The sequence below is a fragment of the Homo sapiens genome, chromosome 19 (genome assembly GCF_000001405.40).
Source record: "Homo sapiens chromosome 19, GRCh38.p14 Primary Assembly".
Lineage (NCBI taxonomy): Eukaryota > Metazoa > Chordata > Mammalia > Primates > Hominidae > Homo > Homo sapiens.
This window is the reverse complement of record NC_000019.10, coordinates 44,403,504-44,420,752: the sequence shown is the minus strand read 5'-3', so window position 1 is coordinate 44,420,752 and position 17,249 is coordinate 44,403,504. Positions and strand designations below refer to the sequence as shown.

Below are 17,249 nucleotides of genomic sequence, written 5' to 3'. Positions count from 1 at the left end.
GTTCCGTGATGCACCTCCAAGCCGCAAAACCAGCAAGTTTTTATTAGTGATTTTCAAAAGTGGAGGTAGTGTACGAATAGGGTGTGGGTCGCAGAGATCACATACTTCACAAGGTAATAAAATATCACAACACAAATGGAGGCAGGGTGAGATCACAGGACTGGGGCAAAATTAAAATTGCTAATGAAGTTTTGGGCATGCATTGTCATTGATAACATTTATCAGGAGACATGGTTTGAGAGCAGACAACCGGTCTGACCAAAATTTATTAGGCGGGAATTTCCTCATCCTAATTGGCCTGGGAGTGCAACGGGAGACCAGGGCTTATTTCATCCCTTATCTGCAACCATAAAAGACAGACGTCCCCAGAGCTGCAATTTCAGAGGCCTACCCCTAGGAACGCATTCCCTTTCTCAGGGCTGTTCCTTGCTGAGAAAAAGAATTCAGCAATATTTCTCCTATTTGCTTTTGAAAGAAGAGAAATATGGCTGTGTTCTGCCTGGCTCTCAGGCAGCCAGATCTAATGGTTATCTCCCTTATTCCCTGAACATCACTGTTATCCTGTTCTTTTTTCAAGGTGCCCAGATTTCATATTTTTTAAACAATTTGTGCAGATAATGCAATCATCACAGGGTCCAGAGGCGACATTCATCCTCAGTTTACGAAGATGACAGGATTAAGAGATTAAAGACAGGCATAGGAAAAAACAGGAGTATTGATTGGGGAAATGATAAACGTCCATGAAATATTCACAATTTATGTTCTTCTGCCATGGCTTCAGCCTGTCCCAACGTTCGGAGTCCCTGACTTCCCGCAACATCTCTCCCATTTTTTTTTTTTTTTATATAAATGTGCCAAGGTGATGAAGGCTTGTTCGTTCTCTCAATTTTGACTCAGGATTCTTTGACTGGTTCCACACACTAAAGACAAGCTGATTAAACAGAGAAACATATTTCCAAAATTCACTGCAGAGGAGCCCCCAATAGACTTAATCCAAGTCATGGGGTTTAATCCATAAAGATTTTCTGCCACCTGATCTAACACCTCAGCTCCAGGCACAATGGATAAGTGAGCTTGAGAAGCTTCAAAAATTTGTTTCTTTAATTTATCTTAAATTAAATGATAAATTATCTTCCCTACCCAGAAGGTGTCCTTTGACCATTTACCATGAATGATCAGTCTCTTTATAGGAACATGGGGTGATACAGAAATCTGAAGTGTTCCAATCACACTGCATTTGCATTCGATGTTTGAGACTCACTACCCAATCTCCAAGCCAAGTAACAGACTGTCTTAAATAATTAATTTGATTAGCCAATTTTTGATCAATGCCTTGTTGAGAATTCCACATTTGGGTGGAATTGGCTTGCCAATCATTAACAAAATGAGCCTTTTGAATAGACTGATGTAACACCATTCTGGCAGTGGTGGCCATTGCAGTGACACTGCAGCCACTGCTCTGCTCTGGGAAGATCTGGGCACAGGCCCGCCAGGGTGGGTTTAAATAGCCTCAGGTGCAGCCTGGCAGCAGAAAGGGCGGAGCTTCACTCCTCCTTTCATGTGTCTCCCCCAACTTTTCCAGGCTCCATCTCCTAGGAAACTGCTCTCCTGATTTGATGTCATGTGACGCATTTGGGACAATCTAAGAAATTAGAAATTTTGTTGGCCAAATATATTATTAATTAAATGCATTGAAAACTATCTAGTGCTGTGGTTCTCACGTTGTGGTTTTGAGACCAGCAGCATCCTTGCAACCCTCAAGCCCCGGAGATCCACAAATCTAGGTTCTCTCAAGCCTTCCCCCTGACCCTGATGTATGGCAGTTTAAGAATTACCCATGTAAGCAAAAAGACTTTTAAGAAAAAGTGGAGATATGCATTGTATAAACATTCTTCTGCTCTGGAACCATGTAGAGACTTTGGGGCCAGGTGGGTGGAGCATTCATAGGATGAGGGTGGTGAGGTTAGGAATATCAAGGTGTGGCTCCAGATAATTAGACCATCTAATTAAGTTTTCAGTTATGCTAATCTGTTTTAAAATTCCGTTTATGTAAATTCTATTACTCAGACCAAGAATGGCAATGCCTCAACCCCAATTTCCAGGGAGGGTTGAGAGCCTGAGGTTGAGTTGATCACCAATAGCCGATGGTTTAACCCATCATGCCTATGTAATGAAGCCTCCATAAAAACAAAAAAGGACTGGGTTTATAGGGCTTCTGGATAAAACTTCCTGGAAGGTAGTGCACCCCTCCCCCCATGCCAGGCCCCATGAATCTTTTTTTCTGAATTTTTTGCAACATCCTCTATAATAAAATGGTAAATGTAAGTGTTTCCCTGTGTGGTGTGAGCTGTTCTAGCAAATTAATTCAACTGAAACAGGGAGTGGTGGAAACCTGATTTATACCCAGTTGGTCAGAAGCACAGGTAAAACAACATAGGACTTGCCATTGTTATTACAGTGGGAGGCGAGTCTTGCAGAACTGAGCCCTGTGGAATCTAATGCTATGGCCAGGTAGATAGTGTCATCATTGAATTAGAAGACACCCAGCTGGCGTCCACAGCAGAATGGATGGTGTGCTTGACTGACCGAGAGAAATCCCCAGACATGTTGTCACAGGAATCTTCTGTGTTGATTGTTGTGATGTGAGAGCAGAGGAAAAACAGTTTTTGTTTTTTTCGCTGAGCCTAAAATGTAAAAGGGTCTATTTTCTCACACTATTTAGGATCACATGATTTATAATAAAAATGTTTAATCTTTGTCAACTTGATATATAAAAAGGATGTTGGTTTTCATTTTATTGCTAACAGTCAAGGTGGTCATAGTTGATGTGTTTTTGTCATTTTTCTTTTCACTGCCTTGTCATGTCTTTCACCCATTTTTTAGTTATTTAATTTTTAATTAAAAAAAAATTTTAGGCCGGGCGCAATGGCTCACACCTGTAATCCCAGCACTTTGGGAGGCTGAGGCGGGTGAATCACGAGATCAAGAGATCGAGACCATCCTGGCCAACATTGTGAAGCCCCGTCTCTACTGATAGTAGAAAAATTAGCCGGGTGTGGTGGTGGGCGCCTGTAGTCCCAGCTACTCAGGAGGCTGAGGCGGAAGCCACTGCACTCCAGCCTGGGTGAAAGAGCAAGACTCCATGTGAAAAGAAAAACAAACAAAAAAACCTGGCTCTTATTAATCCTTTTATTTTTTTCCATCAGGTGAACAATTATGGCATTACGTTATGTGAATTTTTCCAGGTAGGAGATATTGGCCATCCTCTTTTTTTTTTTCTTTTTTTTTTTTTTTGAGAAAGGATCTCAGCCTGTCACCCAGGCTTTAGTGCTATGGTCGGATCAGAGCCTCAAGAGATCCTCAGCCTCTTGAGTAGCTGCAACTACAGGTGTGCACCACTGCACCTGATAATTTTCTTTTATTTTTTTTGTGGAGTCGAGGTCTCACTATGTTGCCCAGGCTTGTCTCAAAATCCTGGGCTCAAGTGATTCTCCTGCCTTGGCCTACCAAAGTGATGGGATCACGGGTGTGAGCCACATCTCCCTGACTCTTCATCCTCTTATAAGCTTATTCCTTTGTATTTCCCTTGCTATTTACTCCTTGTTTCTTTCTGTTTAGGTATTCATCTTATCTATGAACTCTTTTTGTGTATTTTTTCTAGGTTTTGATCTTTTTTCCTGTTATATATATTAACAAGAAAATTACTTTCAAACTGTTGATTGACATTTATTTTCATGGTGATATGTTTTAGAAAGTAATATTTCTTAATATGATGATTTATATTGCTAAATGTAGTAATGATTAATTTCCATGCATTACTGTTGTACTGTAAAAATTTCAATATATTGCTGGATTTTGTTTGCTGCTTTTCATACAATTTTGCAGTCCTATTCGTTGAAACATTTTCCTTTAGTTTTCTGGCTTTATTTGTTGTTGTTGTAGTTGTTGTTGTTCTATTATGGTATAATTTGGTTATCAAAATTATACTAGGATTTGTGGTAGTAATATAATAAGAAGCTCCTAGCGCGTTCTGCTCTCTGGAAAAGTTTATTGTAATAATCACCTCATTGAAGGTTGGTGTTATTTCCCTCTTAGAGCATTCAGAATAGATTTCCTATTTGGGGATTAACCTAAGGTTTCTTCTGAGGTTGTAGTTTTATTTAGCATTTATACTGCTTGTTAAATATATTTGCGTTCTCTATATATTCCCAGAAAATTATATTTTTCATTTCATTCACCTCTGTTTTTTCTGTATTATCTGCTTTCCACTTTCTCTGGTTTTGTTTTGCTGCTGTATATATGAGACATAGATAGTTCAGTGTTAAGAGCATGGGGCTGGGGGTGATGAGATGGGAGACATAGGGGAGGATGCCAGTGAGGTCTGTAAGTGTCTCTCGGCTTCGTGGGTGCGGCAGGCTGACTGGGTCAGAAATCTGGTTTGTCTGGGGAGGAGCTGGGAGACACAGAAGAGTCCCCGAGAGCTGGGGGTGAGCTGCTGGGTGACGGCAGTAAGAACATGTGGTATATTATTGATGAACGTGGTGATTCTAAAGAATGCCCAGAGGAGGACACGGGAGAGCCCAATGGCTTCATTGATTGCCCATCATGGTGAGGAAAGGGAAATGGGAGCTTGTGGGATTCTGGTGATGACAGAGGTGAGTGTGGTGAAGCCCTAGGGGATGGTGAATGGTAGCCCCGGATCCCTGGTGAGAAGCTTCCTCTTAAGTCTGAGTTTCTGAGAGGGGAGAGGGAGAAGCTGGGTGAGGCTAGCATGGATCTTGGGGAGTCTGGGCTGGGGGACGGTTCATAAGAAGAGCCAGACAAGACCCTACTGTTCTTAAGTGCACACATGATTAGGAAACCTGTAGCTCCCAGGGACGCCTACCAATTTTCTAACTTGCAGAAAGAAGGAGTGGGTGTGTGTTTGTGTGTGTGTGTGTGTGTGTGTTTGTGTGTGGTGTGAGGTATGGGTTCCTTAAGAAAATGGAAATAAACCAACCAATGAGACAGACAGACAGAGATTCACTTACCCAAGTGTTCTGTCCTGTCCTCTGAATCCGCTTCCAAGTCGCAAGACGCTGTAAGCTCCAAGTCCACGCAGAGCCCGCAAAACGCTCCGGCCGCTGCTCCGCTCTGTGAAGATCTGAGTACAGGCCCGCCAGGGTGAGTTTAAATAGCCTCGGGCGGGCGCAGCCTGGCAGCGGAAAGGGCGGAGCTTCACTCCTCCTTTCCATCAGTCACCCCCAACTTTCCCAGGTTACACCGAGTAGGAAACTGTTCTCCTGATTTGATTTCATGCGCCACATTTGGGACAATCTAAGAACTTACGAGTTTTTTTGGCCAAATATATTATGAATTAAATGCACTGAAACACTGAAAACCATCTAGTGGTTCTGTGGTTCTCACATTGTGGTTTTGACACCAGCAGCATCCTTGCAACCCTCAAACCCCGGAGATCCACAGATCTGTGTTGTAACAAGCCCTCCCCCTGACCCTGATGCATGGCAGTTTAAGAATTACCCGTGTAAGCGAAAAGACTTTGAAGAAAAAGGGGAGATATGCGTTGTAGGAACATTCTTTTGCTCTGGAACCACGTGGAGACTTAGGAGCCAGTTGGGTGGAGCATTCGTTGGATGAGGGTGCTCGGGTTAGGAATATCAAGATGTGGCTCCAGATAATTCAATCATCTAATTCAGTTTTCAGTTTTGCTAATCTGTCTTAAAATTCCGTTTGTGTAAATTCTTCTACTCAGACTGAGAATGGCAATGCCTCAACCCCAATTTCCAGGGAGGGTTGAGAGCCTCAGGTTGAGCTGATCACCAATCGCCTATGGTTTAACCCATCATGCCTATAGAATGAGGTCTCCGTAAAAACCCAAAAGGACTGGGTTTAGAGAGCTTGTGGATAACACTTCCTGGAAGGCAGTGCGCCCCTCCCCACATGCCAGGCCCATAATCTGTTTTCTAAATTTTTTGCAATATCCGCTATCATAAAATGGTAAATGGAAGTATTTCCCTGCGTGCTGTGAGCTCTTCCAGCAAATTAATGCAATTACAACAGGGAGTGGTGGAAACCTGATTTATAGCCAGTTGCTAAGAAGCACAGGTAAAACAACATAGGGCTTCCCATTGTTATTAGAGAGGGAGGCCAGTCTTGCGGGACTGAGCCCTTTGGAATCTAATGCTATGTCCCGGTAGATAGCGTCATCATTGAATTAGAAGGCACATATATGTTGAGAATAATTTTTCTAGTCATTTGCTGTATGTCTTATTTACAATACGTAATCAAATTCTTTATCCTGACCTTATGGCACCTGGGTTGAGAACCATGATTTCAACCAAAAATTGCTCTATCGCTTTCTCAGTTTGAAACTTTATTTTGCCACTAGCGTTTTGTTATTGTTTTTTCCTTTTGATTTGTTTCGTTTTGTTTCTAAGTTCTGGGGTATATGTGCAGGATGTGCAGATTTGTTACAAAGGTAAACGTGTGCCATGGTGGTTTGCTGCACCTGTCGACCCATCACCTAGGGATTAAGCCCAGCATGCATTAGCTGTTTTTCTTAACGCTCTGCTTCCCGAAAGGCCCCAGTGTGTGTTGTTCCCCTTCCTGTGTCCATGTGTTCTCATTTTTCAGCTCCCATTATAGGTGAAAATGTGGTTTTGGTTTTCTGTTCATGGATTAGTTTGCTGAGGATAATGACTTCACATCACCAGTGTTTTTTATTTTTTTAAAGAATAGTATTTTATTGACTATGGCTTATTCGCAGAAAAATAAGCTTTAATCTACAACGAATGCCAGACTCTACAGCAGAAAGCAATCTTCTCAGTTTTCTACACACAAAGGTTCCTACTAAGTGGAAAAAAGCCACAAAATTTCATTCACAAATGTACTACACTGTCTCAAAACATTTCACATAATTATTCACCGTACTAATACAATTAGATCAGTTATTCAGTCAGGTTAAAGTATCCCTCTAATAACTGATTTTTAAAATGCTATCAGTATCCACTCCCTATCAGTCTGCCATTGTTAATCGTGCAGAGCATTATTGAATACAATGGAATTGATGAAGCCCATATCCACGGACAAACCGTGACTTATGATGGTTTGATTTATGATTTTTCAACTTTATGATGGGTTTATTGGGGTATTAGATGCGTTTTTGGGTCACATTGGGTTTATCAGTATGTGACCCTACACTCCAGAAATAGCTGTATAAAGAAAAACAGGTGTACCTCATTAAAATATACTTAGTGACTTGGGAGAAACCAGTAGATGTTTACAACTGATGGAGAACCATGAAAGAGAGATACCGGTAAATAATAACAATAACACAATTTTCCTGCAACTGTCGAGGATTTCCCAAAAACACACAGAAAGTAGGATGCACCGAAGGCATGTGAAAGAGAGAGGGCAGAAGGAGTAAGAGAGAAATAGGAGGAAGGGAGGAAGGAAGGAAGGAAGGAAGGAAGGAAGGAAGGAAGGAAAGAAGGAAGGAGAAAACACCTGGTGTTACTAAAACCAAAAAAAAAAAAAATGGTTTCCCACTGTGGGTAATGCTACAATGTGGATGAACCTTGAAAATATTGTGCTAAGTGTAAAGTCGGTCATAAAAGTTCACATATGTTATAATTCTGTTGATAGGAAATGTCCACAATATGGAAATCTAAGGAGATAGGGTTGAGCGCTCTATGTAGTTGTTACCTAGGGTTGAGGGTCAGGGAGAGAGTTTGAGACAGAATGAGGAGTGACTGACGTTTAGAGGGTTTTTCTCTGGTCGGGGGTGATAAAATGTTCTCAAATGGATTGCGAATTAAAATTGAACGTGCACAACCACAAGTATACTAAAAGCCACTCAATTCATGACTTTTAATGGGGGAATCTTATGTGGCGCACTCTCGTCGAGACCACGGCAGACATAGTGAAAGAGAAAAAGGTGAGTAAATATCTGAAACGGAGGCAGAAACAGAGAGAATGAAAAGCCCTGTGAATGGAAGCGAGAGAGAAAAGGGAAAATGGTCCTATTTACAAATGACAGATCTGAAACTGGGGCTCACATCAACAGTGTCACTGCCAGGGAGGAGGGTCATGCTGGCCATGTCACCGGTAGTGTCGCCCGCAGGGATGCCGACATGCTGGAGGTTGGTGTCAGCATGGGCTCTGGCAGCCACGTGGGCCAGCAGGAGGGTCCCGCTGCACAGCTGTGGGGTGAGGATAGCCTGGGCGGTGATATCGGCCATTAGAGGGGCCTCTTCTGCTGGCAAGAGTGTGACAGTAGCAAGTAGATGGACAGGCCTGTGTGTGAGGACGGAATGCAGGAGGGGCTTTTCTGCGGCTGGGTGTGGGGCGCTCACCAGGAATGTGGAGAAATGGCCAGGTAACTGCGTCATGTTGGCTAGTAGATTGGCCAGGGCTTCCAACTGAAGGACAATAACGGGGAGTAGCTGTCAGGCCCTGGGAGTGTCTGAGTGTAAGTGGAGATGGGTTTGGGGTCACTGAGGGATACGTGGGAGCCACCCCTGTATAGATACAGGTCACAGGGAAATAGTCTCGTGAGGCCTGTGAGTGTCTAGGGTTCTCCTGGGTGCCTGGGGCTGACCGCGGCAGAAATCTGGGGAAGGCCAGAGAGAAGCTGGGAGACACAGGAGAGTCCCTGAAGGCTGGGGGTGAAGAGGTGAAAGAAATGGGGGAGGGTGGCAGTAAGGTCCGTGAGTTTGTAGGTGATTCCTGGGTGTGGGAAGCTGACTCCAGCTGAAATCTGGAGATGGTTGGAGAGTAACTGAGAGAGACAGAACAGTCCCTGAGGGCTGGGGGTGAAAACATGAGCGAGACTGGGGAGTAACTGAGTGAAATTGGTGAGTTTGCTGGTGTGTCCTGGGTGCCTGGAACTGACTCCAGCGGGAATCTAGAGAAGTTTTGAGAGTAGCTGAAAGAGACACAACAGTCCCTGTGGGCTGAGGGCAAAGAGCTGAGAGAGACCAGGGAGGATCTCAGTGAGGTCTGTGAGTCTGTAGGTGATTCCTGAGTGTAGGAGGCTGACTCCCGCTGAAATCTGGGCGTGGCGGGAGAGTAGGTGGGACAGACAGGAGAGTCCCAGGAGGCTGGCGGTGAAGACTTGAGAGAGACTGGGGAGTAACTCAGTGAAACTGGTGAGTTTGTAGGTGATTCCTGGGTGCCTGCAACTGACTCCCGCTGAAATCTGGGCGTGGTTGGAGAGTAGCTGGGACACACAGGAGAGTCCCTGAGGGCTGGGGGTGAAGACATGAGAGAGACCGGGGAGTAACTCAGTGAAACTGGTGAGTTTGGTGGTGATTCCGGGGTGCCTGGAACTGACTCCAGCTGCAATCTGGGCGTGGTTGGAGAGTAGCCGGGACAGACAGGAGAGTCCCTGAGGGCTGGTGAAGACATGAGAGAGACTGGAGAGTAAGTGAGTGAAATTGGTGAGTTTGGTGGTGATTTCTGGGTGCCTGGAAGTGACTCCTGCTGAAATGTGGGCGTGGTATGAGAGTAGCTGGGACACAGAGGAGAGTCCCTGAGGGCTGGTGAAGACATGAGAGAGACTGGGGAGTAATTGAGTGAAATTGGTGAGTTTGGTGGTGATTCCAGGGTGCCTGGAACTGACTCCAGCTGCAATCTGGGCGTGGTTGGAGAGTAGCTGGGACGGACAGGAGAGTCCCTGAGGCTTGGGGATAAAGACCTGCTAGAGACTGGGGAGTAACTCAGTGAAAGTGGTGAGCTTGGTAGTGATCCCTGGGTTCCTGAAAATGACCCCCGCTGAAATGTGGGCGTGGTTGGAGAGTAGCTGGGACAGACAGGAGGGTCCGTAAGGGCTGGGGGTGAAGACATGAGAGAGACTGGCGAGGATCTCACTGAGGTCTGTGAGTTTGTAGGTGTTTCTGGGGAGTGGGAGACCGACTCCCGCTGAAATCTGGGCGTAGTTGGAGAGTAGCTGGGACAGACAGGAGAGTCATTGATGGCTGGGGGTGAGCTGCTGGATGATGGCAGTAAGAACATATGGTATATTATTGATGAATGAGGTGACTGTGAAGAATCTCCAGAGGAGGACACGGGAGAGCACAATGACATCAGTGATTGTCCGGGAGAGCACAATGACATCAGTGATTGTCCTGCTTGGTCAGGAAAGGGAAATGTAAAGTTGTGAAATTCTGTTGATGATGGATGTGAGAGTGGTGAAGCCCTGCGGGATGATGTAGAGTACTTCCACATCCCTGGCGAGGAGCTGCCCCTTGGGTCTGAGTTTCTGGGAGGGGAGAGGGAGAAGCTGGGTGAGGCAGGCATGAATCTTGAGGAGTCAGGGCTGGGGGACCGCTCATAATCTCCCGAGACGTGTGAGTCTCTGGGGGACTCCTGGGTGCATGAGGCTGACTCCCGCAGAAACCTGGGGATGGCTGGAGAGTAACTGGTAGGCACAGGAGAGTCCCTGAGGCCTGGGGGTGAAGAGATGAAAGACACAGGGGAGGAGCACCGTGAGGCTCGTGAGTTTGTAGGTGATTCCTGGGTGTGGGGGGCTGACTCCAGCTGAAATCCGGGGTTGTTCGGAGAGTGGCTGGGAGGCACAGGAGATTCCCAGAGAGCCGGGGGTGAGCTGCTGGGTGATGGCAGTAAGAACATGTGTTATATTATTGATGAACGTGGTGATTCTAAAGAATCCCCAGAGGAGGACGCGGGAGAACCCAATGGCTTCATTGATTGCCCATCACGGTTGAGGAAAGGGAAATGGGAGCTTGTGGGATTCTGGTGATGACAGAGGTGAGTGTGGTGAAGCCCTAGGGGAGGGTGAACGGTAGCTCCGGATCCCTGGTGAGGAGCTTCCTCTTAAGTCTGAGTTTCTGAGAGGGGAGAGGGAGAAGCTGGGTGAGGCTAGCATGGATCTTGGGGAGTCCGGGCTGGGGGACGGTTCATAAGAAGAGCCAGACAAGACCCTACTGTTCTTAGGTGCAGACATGATTAGGAAACCTGTAGCTCCCAGAGAAGCCTACCAGTTTTCTAACCCGCAGAAAGAAGGAGTGTGTGTGTGTGTGTGTGTGTGTGTGTGTGTGTGTGTGTGTGTGATGTGAGGTATGTGCTCCTTAAGAAAATGGAAATAAACCAACCAATGAGACAGACAGACAGACAGACAGACAGAGATTCACTTACCCAAGTGTTCTGTCCTGTCCTCTGAATCTGCTTCCAAGTCGCAAGACGCTGTAAGCTCCAAGTCCACGCAGAGCCCGCAAAACGCTCCGGCCGCTGCTCCGCTCTGTGAAGATCTGAGTACAGGCCCGCCAGGGTGGGTTTAAATAGCCTCGGGCGGGCGCAGCCTGGCAGCGGAAAGGGCGGAGCTTCACTCCTCCTTTCCATCAGTCACCCCCAACTTTCCCAGGTTACACCGCGTAGGAAACTGTTCTCCTGATTTGATTTCATGCGCCACATTTGGGACAATCTAAGAACTTACAAGTTTTCTTGGTGAAATATATTATGAATTAAATGCACTGAAACACTGAAAACCATCTAGTGGTTCTGTGGTTCTCACATTGTGGTTTTGACACCAGCAGCATCCTTGCAACCCTCAAACCCCGGAGATCCACAGATCTGTGTTGTAACAAGCCCTCCCCCTGACTCTGATGCATGGCAGTTTAAGAATTACCCGTGTAAGCGAAACGACTTTTGAGAAAAAGGGGAGATATCCGTTGTATAAACATTCTTCTGCTCTGGAACCATCTAGATACTTCGGGGCCAGTTGGGTGGAGCATTCATTGGATGAGGGTGATTGGATTAGGAATATCAAGGTGTGGCTCCAGATAATTCAATCATCTAATTCAGTTTTCAGTTATGCTAATCTGTTGTAAAATTCTGTTTATGTAAATTCTATTATTCAGACTGAGAATGGCAGTGCCTGAACCCCATTTTCCAGGAGGGTTGAGTGCCTGAAGGTTGAGTTGATCACCAATAGCGTATGGCTTAACCTATCATGCCTATAGAGTGAAGCCTTCATAGAAACTCAAAAGGACTGGGTTTAGAGAGCTTCTGGGTAAAACTTCCTGGAAAGTAGTGCGCCCCTTCCCCCTGCCAGGACCCATGAATCTTTTTTTCTGGATTTTTTGCAATATCCGCTATGGTAAAGTTGTAAATGTCAGTGTTTCCCTGCGTGCTGTGAGCTGTTCGAGGAAAGTAATGCAACTAAAATAGGGAGCGGTGGAAACCTGATTTATAGCTAGTTGATGAAAGCATAGGTAAAACAACGTATGGCTTGCCATTGTTATTAGAGTGGGAGGCCAGTCTTGCGGAACTGAGCCCTGTGGAATCTAATGCTATGTCCAGTTAGATAGTGTCATAAATGAATTAGAAGACACCCAGCTGCTCTCCACAGCAGAATGGATTGTGTGCTTGACTGACCGAGAGAAATCCCTAGACATATCGTCACAGAAATCTTCTGTGTTGATTGTTGTGATGTGAGAGCGGAGGAAAAACTGTTTTTGTTTTTTTCTGTCAGCCTAAAATGTAAACGTGTCCATTTTTTCACACTATTGAGGATCAAGGGATTTATGTTTAATCTTTGTGAACTTGATATGTAAAAATGATGTTGGTTTTCATTTTTGTGATAACAAGGTGGTCATAGTTGATGCCTTTTCGTCATTTTTCATTTCAGTGCCTTGTTATGTCTTTCATCCACTTTTTAATTATTTAATTTTTAATTAAAAAAATTTTTACACCGCGCGCAGTGGCTCACGCCTGTAATCCCAGCACTTTGGGAGGCCAAGGCGGTTGGATCACGAGGTTGGGAGATTGAGACCATCCTGGCTAACATGGTGAAAACCCGTCTCTACTAAAAATACAAAAAAATTAGCCGGGCGTGGAGGTGGGCACCTGTAGTCCCAGCTACTGGGGAGGCTGAGGCAGGAGAATGGCGTGAACCCGGGAGGCAGAGCTTGCAGTGAGCCAAGATCGCGCCATTGCACTCCAGCCTGGGCAAAAGAGCAAGAGGCTCCGTCTCAAAAAAAAAAAAAAAAAAAAAAATTCTGTCCAGACATGATGGCTTGTGCCTGTAATTCCAACATTTTTTCTGTCCAAGCTGGGAGGATTGTTTGAACACACATGTTTCAGACCAGCCTAGGCAACACAGTGAGACTCTATCTCTATAAGAAAATTTTTAAAAATCAGTTAGGCATGATGGTGCACACCTGTAGTTCCACTTACTTGGGACACTGAGGTGGGAGGATTACTCATGCCTAGGAAGTTGAGGCTGCAGTAAGCAACAGAGCAAGACCATGCATCAATACAAACAAACAAAAACCAAAACAAACAACAAACAAAACATTTTTTAATTTGGAAAGATAATATCAACACTGATGAACTCTATAAACTTTTAATAGAGAAATTTTATCACTTATATTTATAAAACATCTGATTTTGTCTTTATTTGCAATGGCTTTTAATTTTTTGATTTATTTTTATTTTAATAGGATTTTGAGAAACAGGTTGCATTTGGTTACACGAATAAATTCTTTAGCGGTGATGTGTGAGATTTTGGTGCACCCATCACCTGAGCAGTATACACTGTACCCAATTTGTAGTCTTTCTTCCTTCACCCCTCTCCCATCCTTCCCTCCCCTCCATCCCTGAAGTCCATTGTATCATTCTTATGCCTTTGCATCCTCATAGCTTAACTCCCACTTATGAGTGAGAACAAACAATATTTGGTTTTCTATTCCTGAGTTATTTCACTAAGAATAATGGTCTCCAATTCCATCCAAGTTGCTATGAATGGCATTAATTTGTTCCTCTTTATTGTGGAATAGCATTCATATATACATATATATATATATGCAATAGAGCAAGACCATGCATCAAAACAAACAAACAAAAACCAAAACAAACAACAAAAGAAAACTTTTTTTTTAATTTTGAGAGATGATATCAATGCTGATGAACTCTAATAAACTTTCAATAGAGGGATTTCATCACTTATATTTATAAAACATCTTATTATGTTGCTATAAACGTGTGTGCAACTATCTTTTTCATATAATGACTTCTTTTCCTCTGGGTAGATACCCAGTAGTGGAATTGTTGAATCAAATGGTAGTTCTACTTTTAGTTCTTTAAGGAATTGCCACACTGTTTTCCATAGTGGTTGCACTAGTTTACATTCCCACCAGCAGTGTAAAAGTGTTCCCTTTTCACCACAGCCCCACCAACATCTATTATTTTTTAAATCTTTTATTATGGCCATTCTTGCAGCTGTAAGGTGGTATTGCATTGTGTTTCTGATTTGCACTTCCCTGATCATTCGTGATGTTGAGCATTTTTTCATATGTTTGTTGGCTATTTGTATATCTTCTTTTAAGGATTGTCTATTCATGTCCTTAGCCCATTTTTTGATGGGATTCTTTGTATTTTTCTTGCTAATTTGTTTGAGTTCCTTGAAGATTCTGAATATTCATCCTTTTTCAGATGTATGGATTGTGAAGATTTTCTCCCCTTTGTGGGTTGTCTGTTTATTCTGCTCAGTGTTTCTTTTGCTGTGCAGAAAATTTTTAGTTAAATTAAGTCCCACCTATTTATCATTTTTTCTGTTGAATTTGCTTTTGGGTTCTTGGTCATCAAGTCTTTGCCTAAGCTAATGTTTTGAAGGGTTTTTCTGATGTTATTTTCTGGAATTTTTATGGTTTCAAGTTTTAAGTTTTTGATCCATCTTGAGTTGACTTTTGCATAAGGTGAGAGATGAGGATCCAGTCACATTCTTCTACATGTGGCTTGCCAATTATCCCAGCACCATTTGTTGAATACGGTTTTTGTTGTTGTTGTTGTTGTTTTGTTTTTTTTGTTTTTTTTTTTTGAGACAGAGTCTCGCTGGGTCACCCAGGCTGGAGGGCAGTGGTGCGATCTCGGCTCACTGCAGGCTCCGCCTCCCAGGTTCACACCATTCTCCTGCCTCAGCCTCCTGAGTAGCCGGGACTACAGGCCCCCGCCACAGCGCCAGGCTAATTTTTTGTATTTTTAGTGGAGACGGGGTTTCTCCGCCTTAACCAGGATGGTCTCGATCTCCTGATCTTGTGATCCACCCGCCTCGGCCTCCCAAAGTGCTGGGATTACAGGCGTGAGCCACCGCGCCCAGCCTGAATAGGAGGTCTTTTCCTCACTTTATGTTTTTGTTTGTTTTTTCAAATATCAGTTGGCTGTAAGTATTTGGATTTATTTCTGGGTTCTCTATTCTGTTCCATTGGTCTTTGTACCTATTTTTATACCAGTACCATGCTGTTTGGGTGGCTACAACCTTATAGTATAGTTTGAAGTCAGGTAATGTGATGCCTCCAGACTTGTTCTTTTTACTTAGTCTTGCTTTGGCTCTGCGGGCTCTTCTTTGGTTCCATATGAATTTTAGAATTGTCTTTTCTAGTTCTGGAAAGAATGATGGTGGTATTTTGATGGAACTTGCATTGAATTTGTAAACAGCTTTTGGCAGTATGGTCATTTTTACAATATTGATTTACCCATTCATAAACATGGGATGTGTTTCCATTTGTTTGTGTCATCTATGGTTTCTTTCAACAGTGTTTTGTAGTTTTCCTTGTAGAGAGGTCTTTCACCTCCTTGGTTAGAAATATTCCTATGTATTTTTTGTTGCAGCTGTTGTAAAAGGGGTTGAGTTCTTGATTTCATTCTTAGCTTGGTTGCTTTTGGTGTACAACAGAGCTATGATTTGTGTACATTAATTTTGTATCCTGAAACTTTGCTGAATTCATTTATGAGTTCTAGAAGCTTTTTGAAGGAGTCTTTAGGGTTTTCTAGGTATATGATCATATCATCAGCAAACAGCAGCAGTTTGACTTTCTCTTTACTGATTTGATTGTTTCTTTCCCTCCTTTTATTTGATTGAGGTTATTGTTGTTCATTTTCTTTCCTTTAGAGCAGTGATTTTCAAGGGGTTACTGTTGGGTATTTGAATGGATGACTTCTTTGTTGAGAGAATTAATTTACAAGTGCAATATGTTTAGCATTCCTTACCTCTGCATACTAAACACATACCCCAGTCACTGGAGCAAGCAAAGATCACTCACACAATTCAAAAAAGTCTTAGGGAGGCTATTTCATTCCTGTTTGAGGGTCACTGTTCTATTTTTTCAGACATAAGATCTCATGCTGTCACCCAAGCTGGAGTACAGTAGCACCATCATAGCTCACTACACCCTGAACCTTCCAGGCTCAAGCCATCCTCCCACCTCAGCTGCTTGAGCAACTAGGATTACAGGCCAGATTCACTGTTCTACAGTTGGGAAGTATGAGCAGCTCCTAGATCAATTATACAAGAGCTTTCTCTTTTGTTCTTAACACACCCATTTAAGTGTGGATTTTCAGACTAAAGCCAAGCTCTTAGATTAGGTAAAAGTAACATTTAAAAATAACTATAATAATAAAGAGTATATAAATAATAAGGTAAAGAAATATACTAATTTTAAGACAAAATGAAAGAATAAATACTAGATGAAATCTAATGAAAAGAAAGCAGGTACAGTCTTCACTGAAAAGTAAACTCAAGGTGAAAATACAAAATACTTAAAATTGTTAACGAAATTTTTGGCCCATCAAGAAGATATGAACATTATGAAACTTACACAGGGTCAGCATCACTAAATTTTAAAATCCAAAATGTTTCACAATCTAAAACTTTTGGAATGTGAACATGACACCACAAGTGGAAAATTCCACACCTGAAGTATTTGCTTTCTTTCTGTTCTTTTCATTGATTTTTCTTTGGTCATCTGACGAAGGCAATCTTTGCTTCTGATGGTTCAATGCACACAAACATTGTATACAAACCTTGTGAACAAAATTATTCAAAATAATTCTATAAAATTAATTTCAGGCTACATGTATAAGGTTTATATGGAACACAAATGAATTTTGCATTTAGACTTGGGTCTCATCCTCAAGATATCTCATTACGTATATGCAAATATTGCAAAATCTGAAAAAAATAAAATATCTGAAACACTTCTGGTCCCAAGTATTTCAGATAAGGAATACAACACTTCCATACCTAACAACACAACTTTTAAAAAGTAAAGCCATTTGTATACCTAGTAACTTGACTTTTGAAAAATGAAGCAGGCTGGGCATGGTGGCTCACGCCTGTAATCCCAGCACTTTGGGAGGCCGAGGTGGGCAGATCACAAGGTCAGGAGATGGAGACCATCCTGGCTAACACGGTGAAACCCTGTCTCTACTAAAAATACAAAAAAATTAGC

General features: G+C 43.1%; 1 annotated feature.

Moving 5' to 3' along the window:
• Positions 4,865-5,067: a silencer, noted in NCBI's record as "peak3499 fragment used in MPRA reporter construct". NCBI's record gives its function as "represses an SCP1 promoter by STARR-seq MPRAs in K562 erythroleukemia cells {active_cell/tissue: K562}" and the evidence as "EXISTENCE:reporter gene assay evidence [ECO:0000049][PMID:32103011]".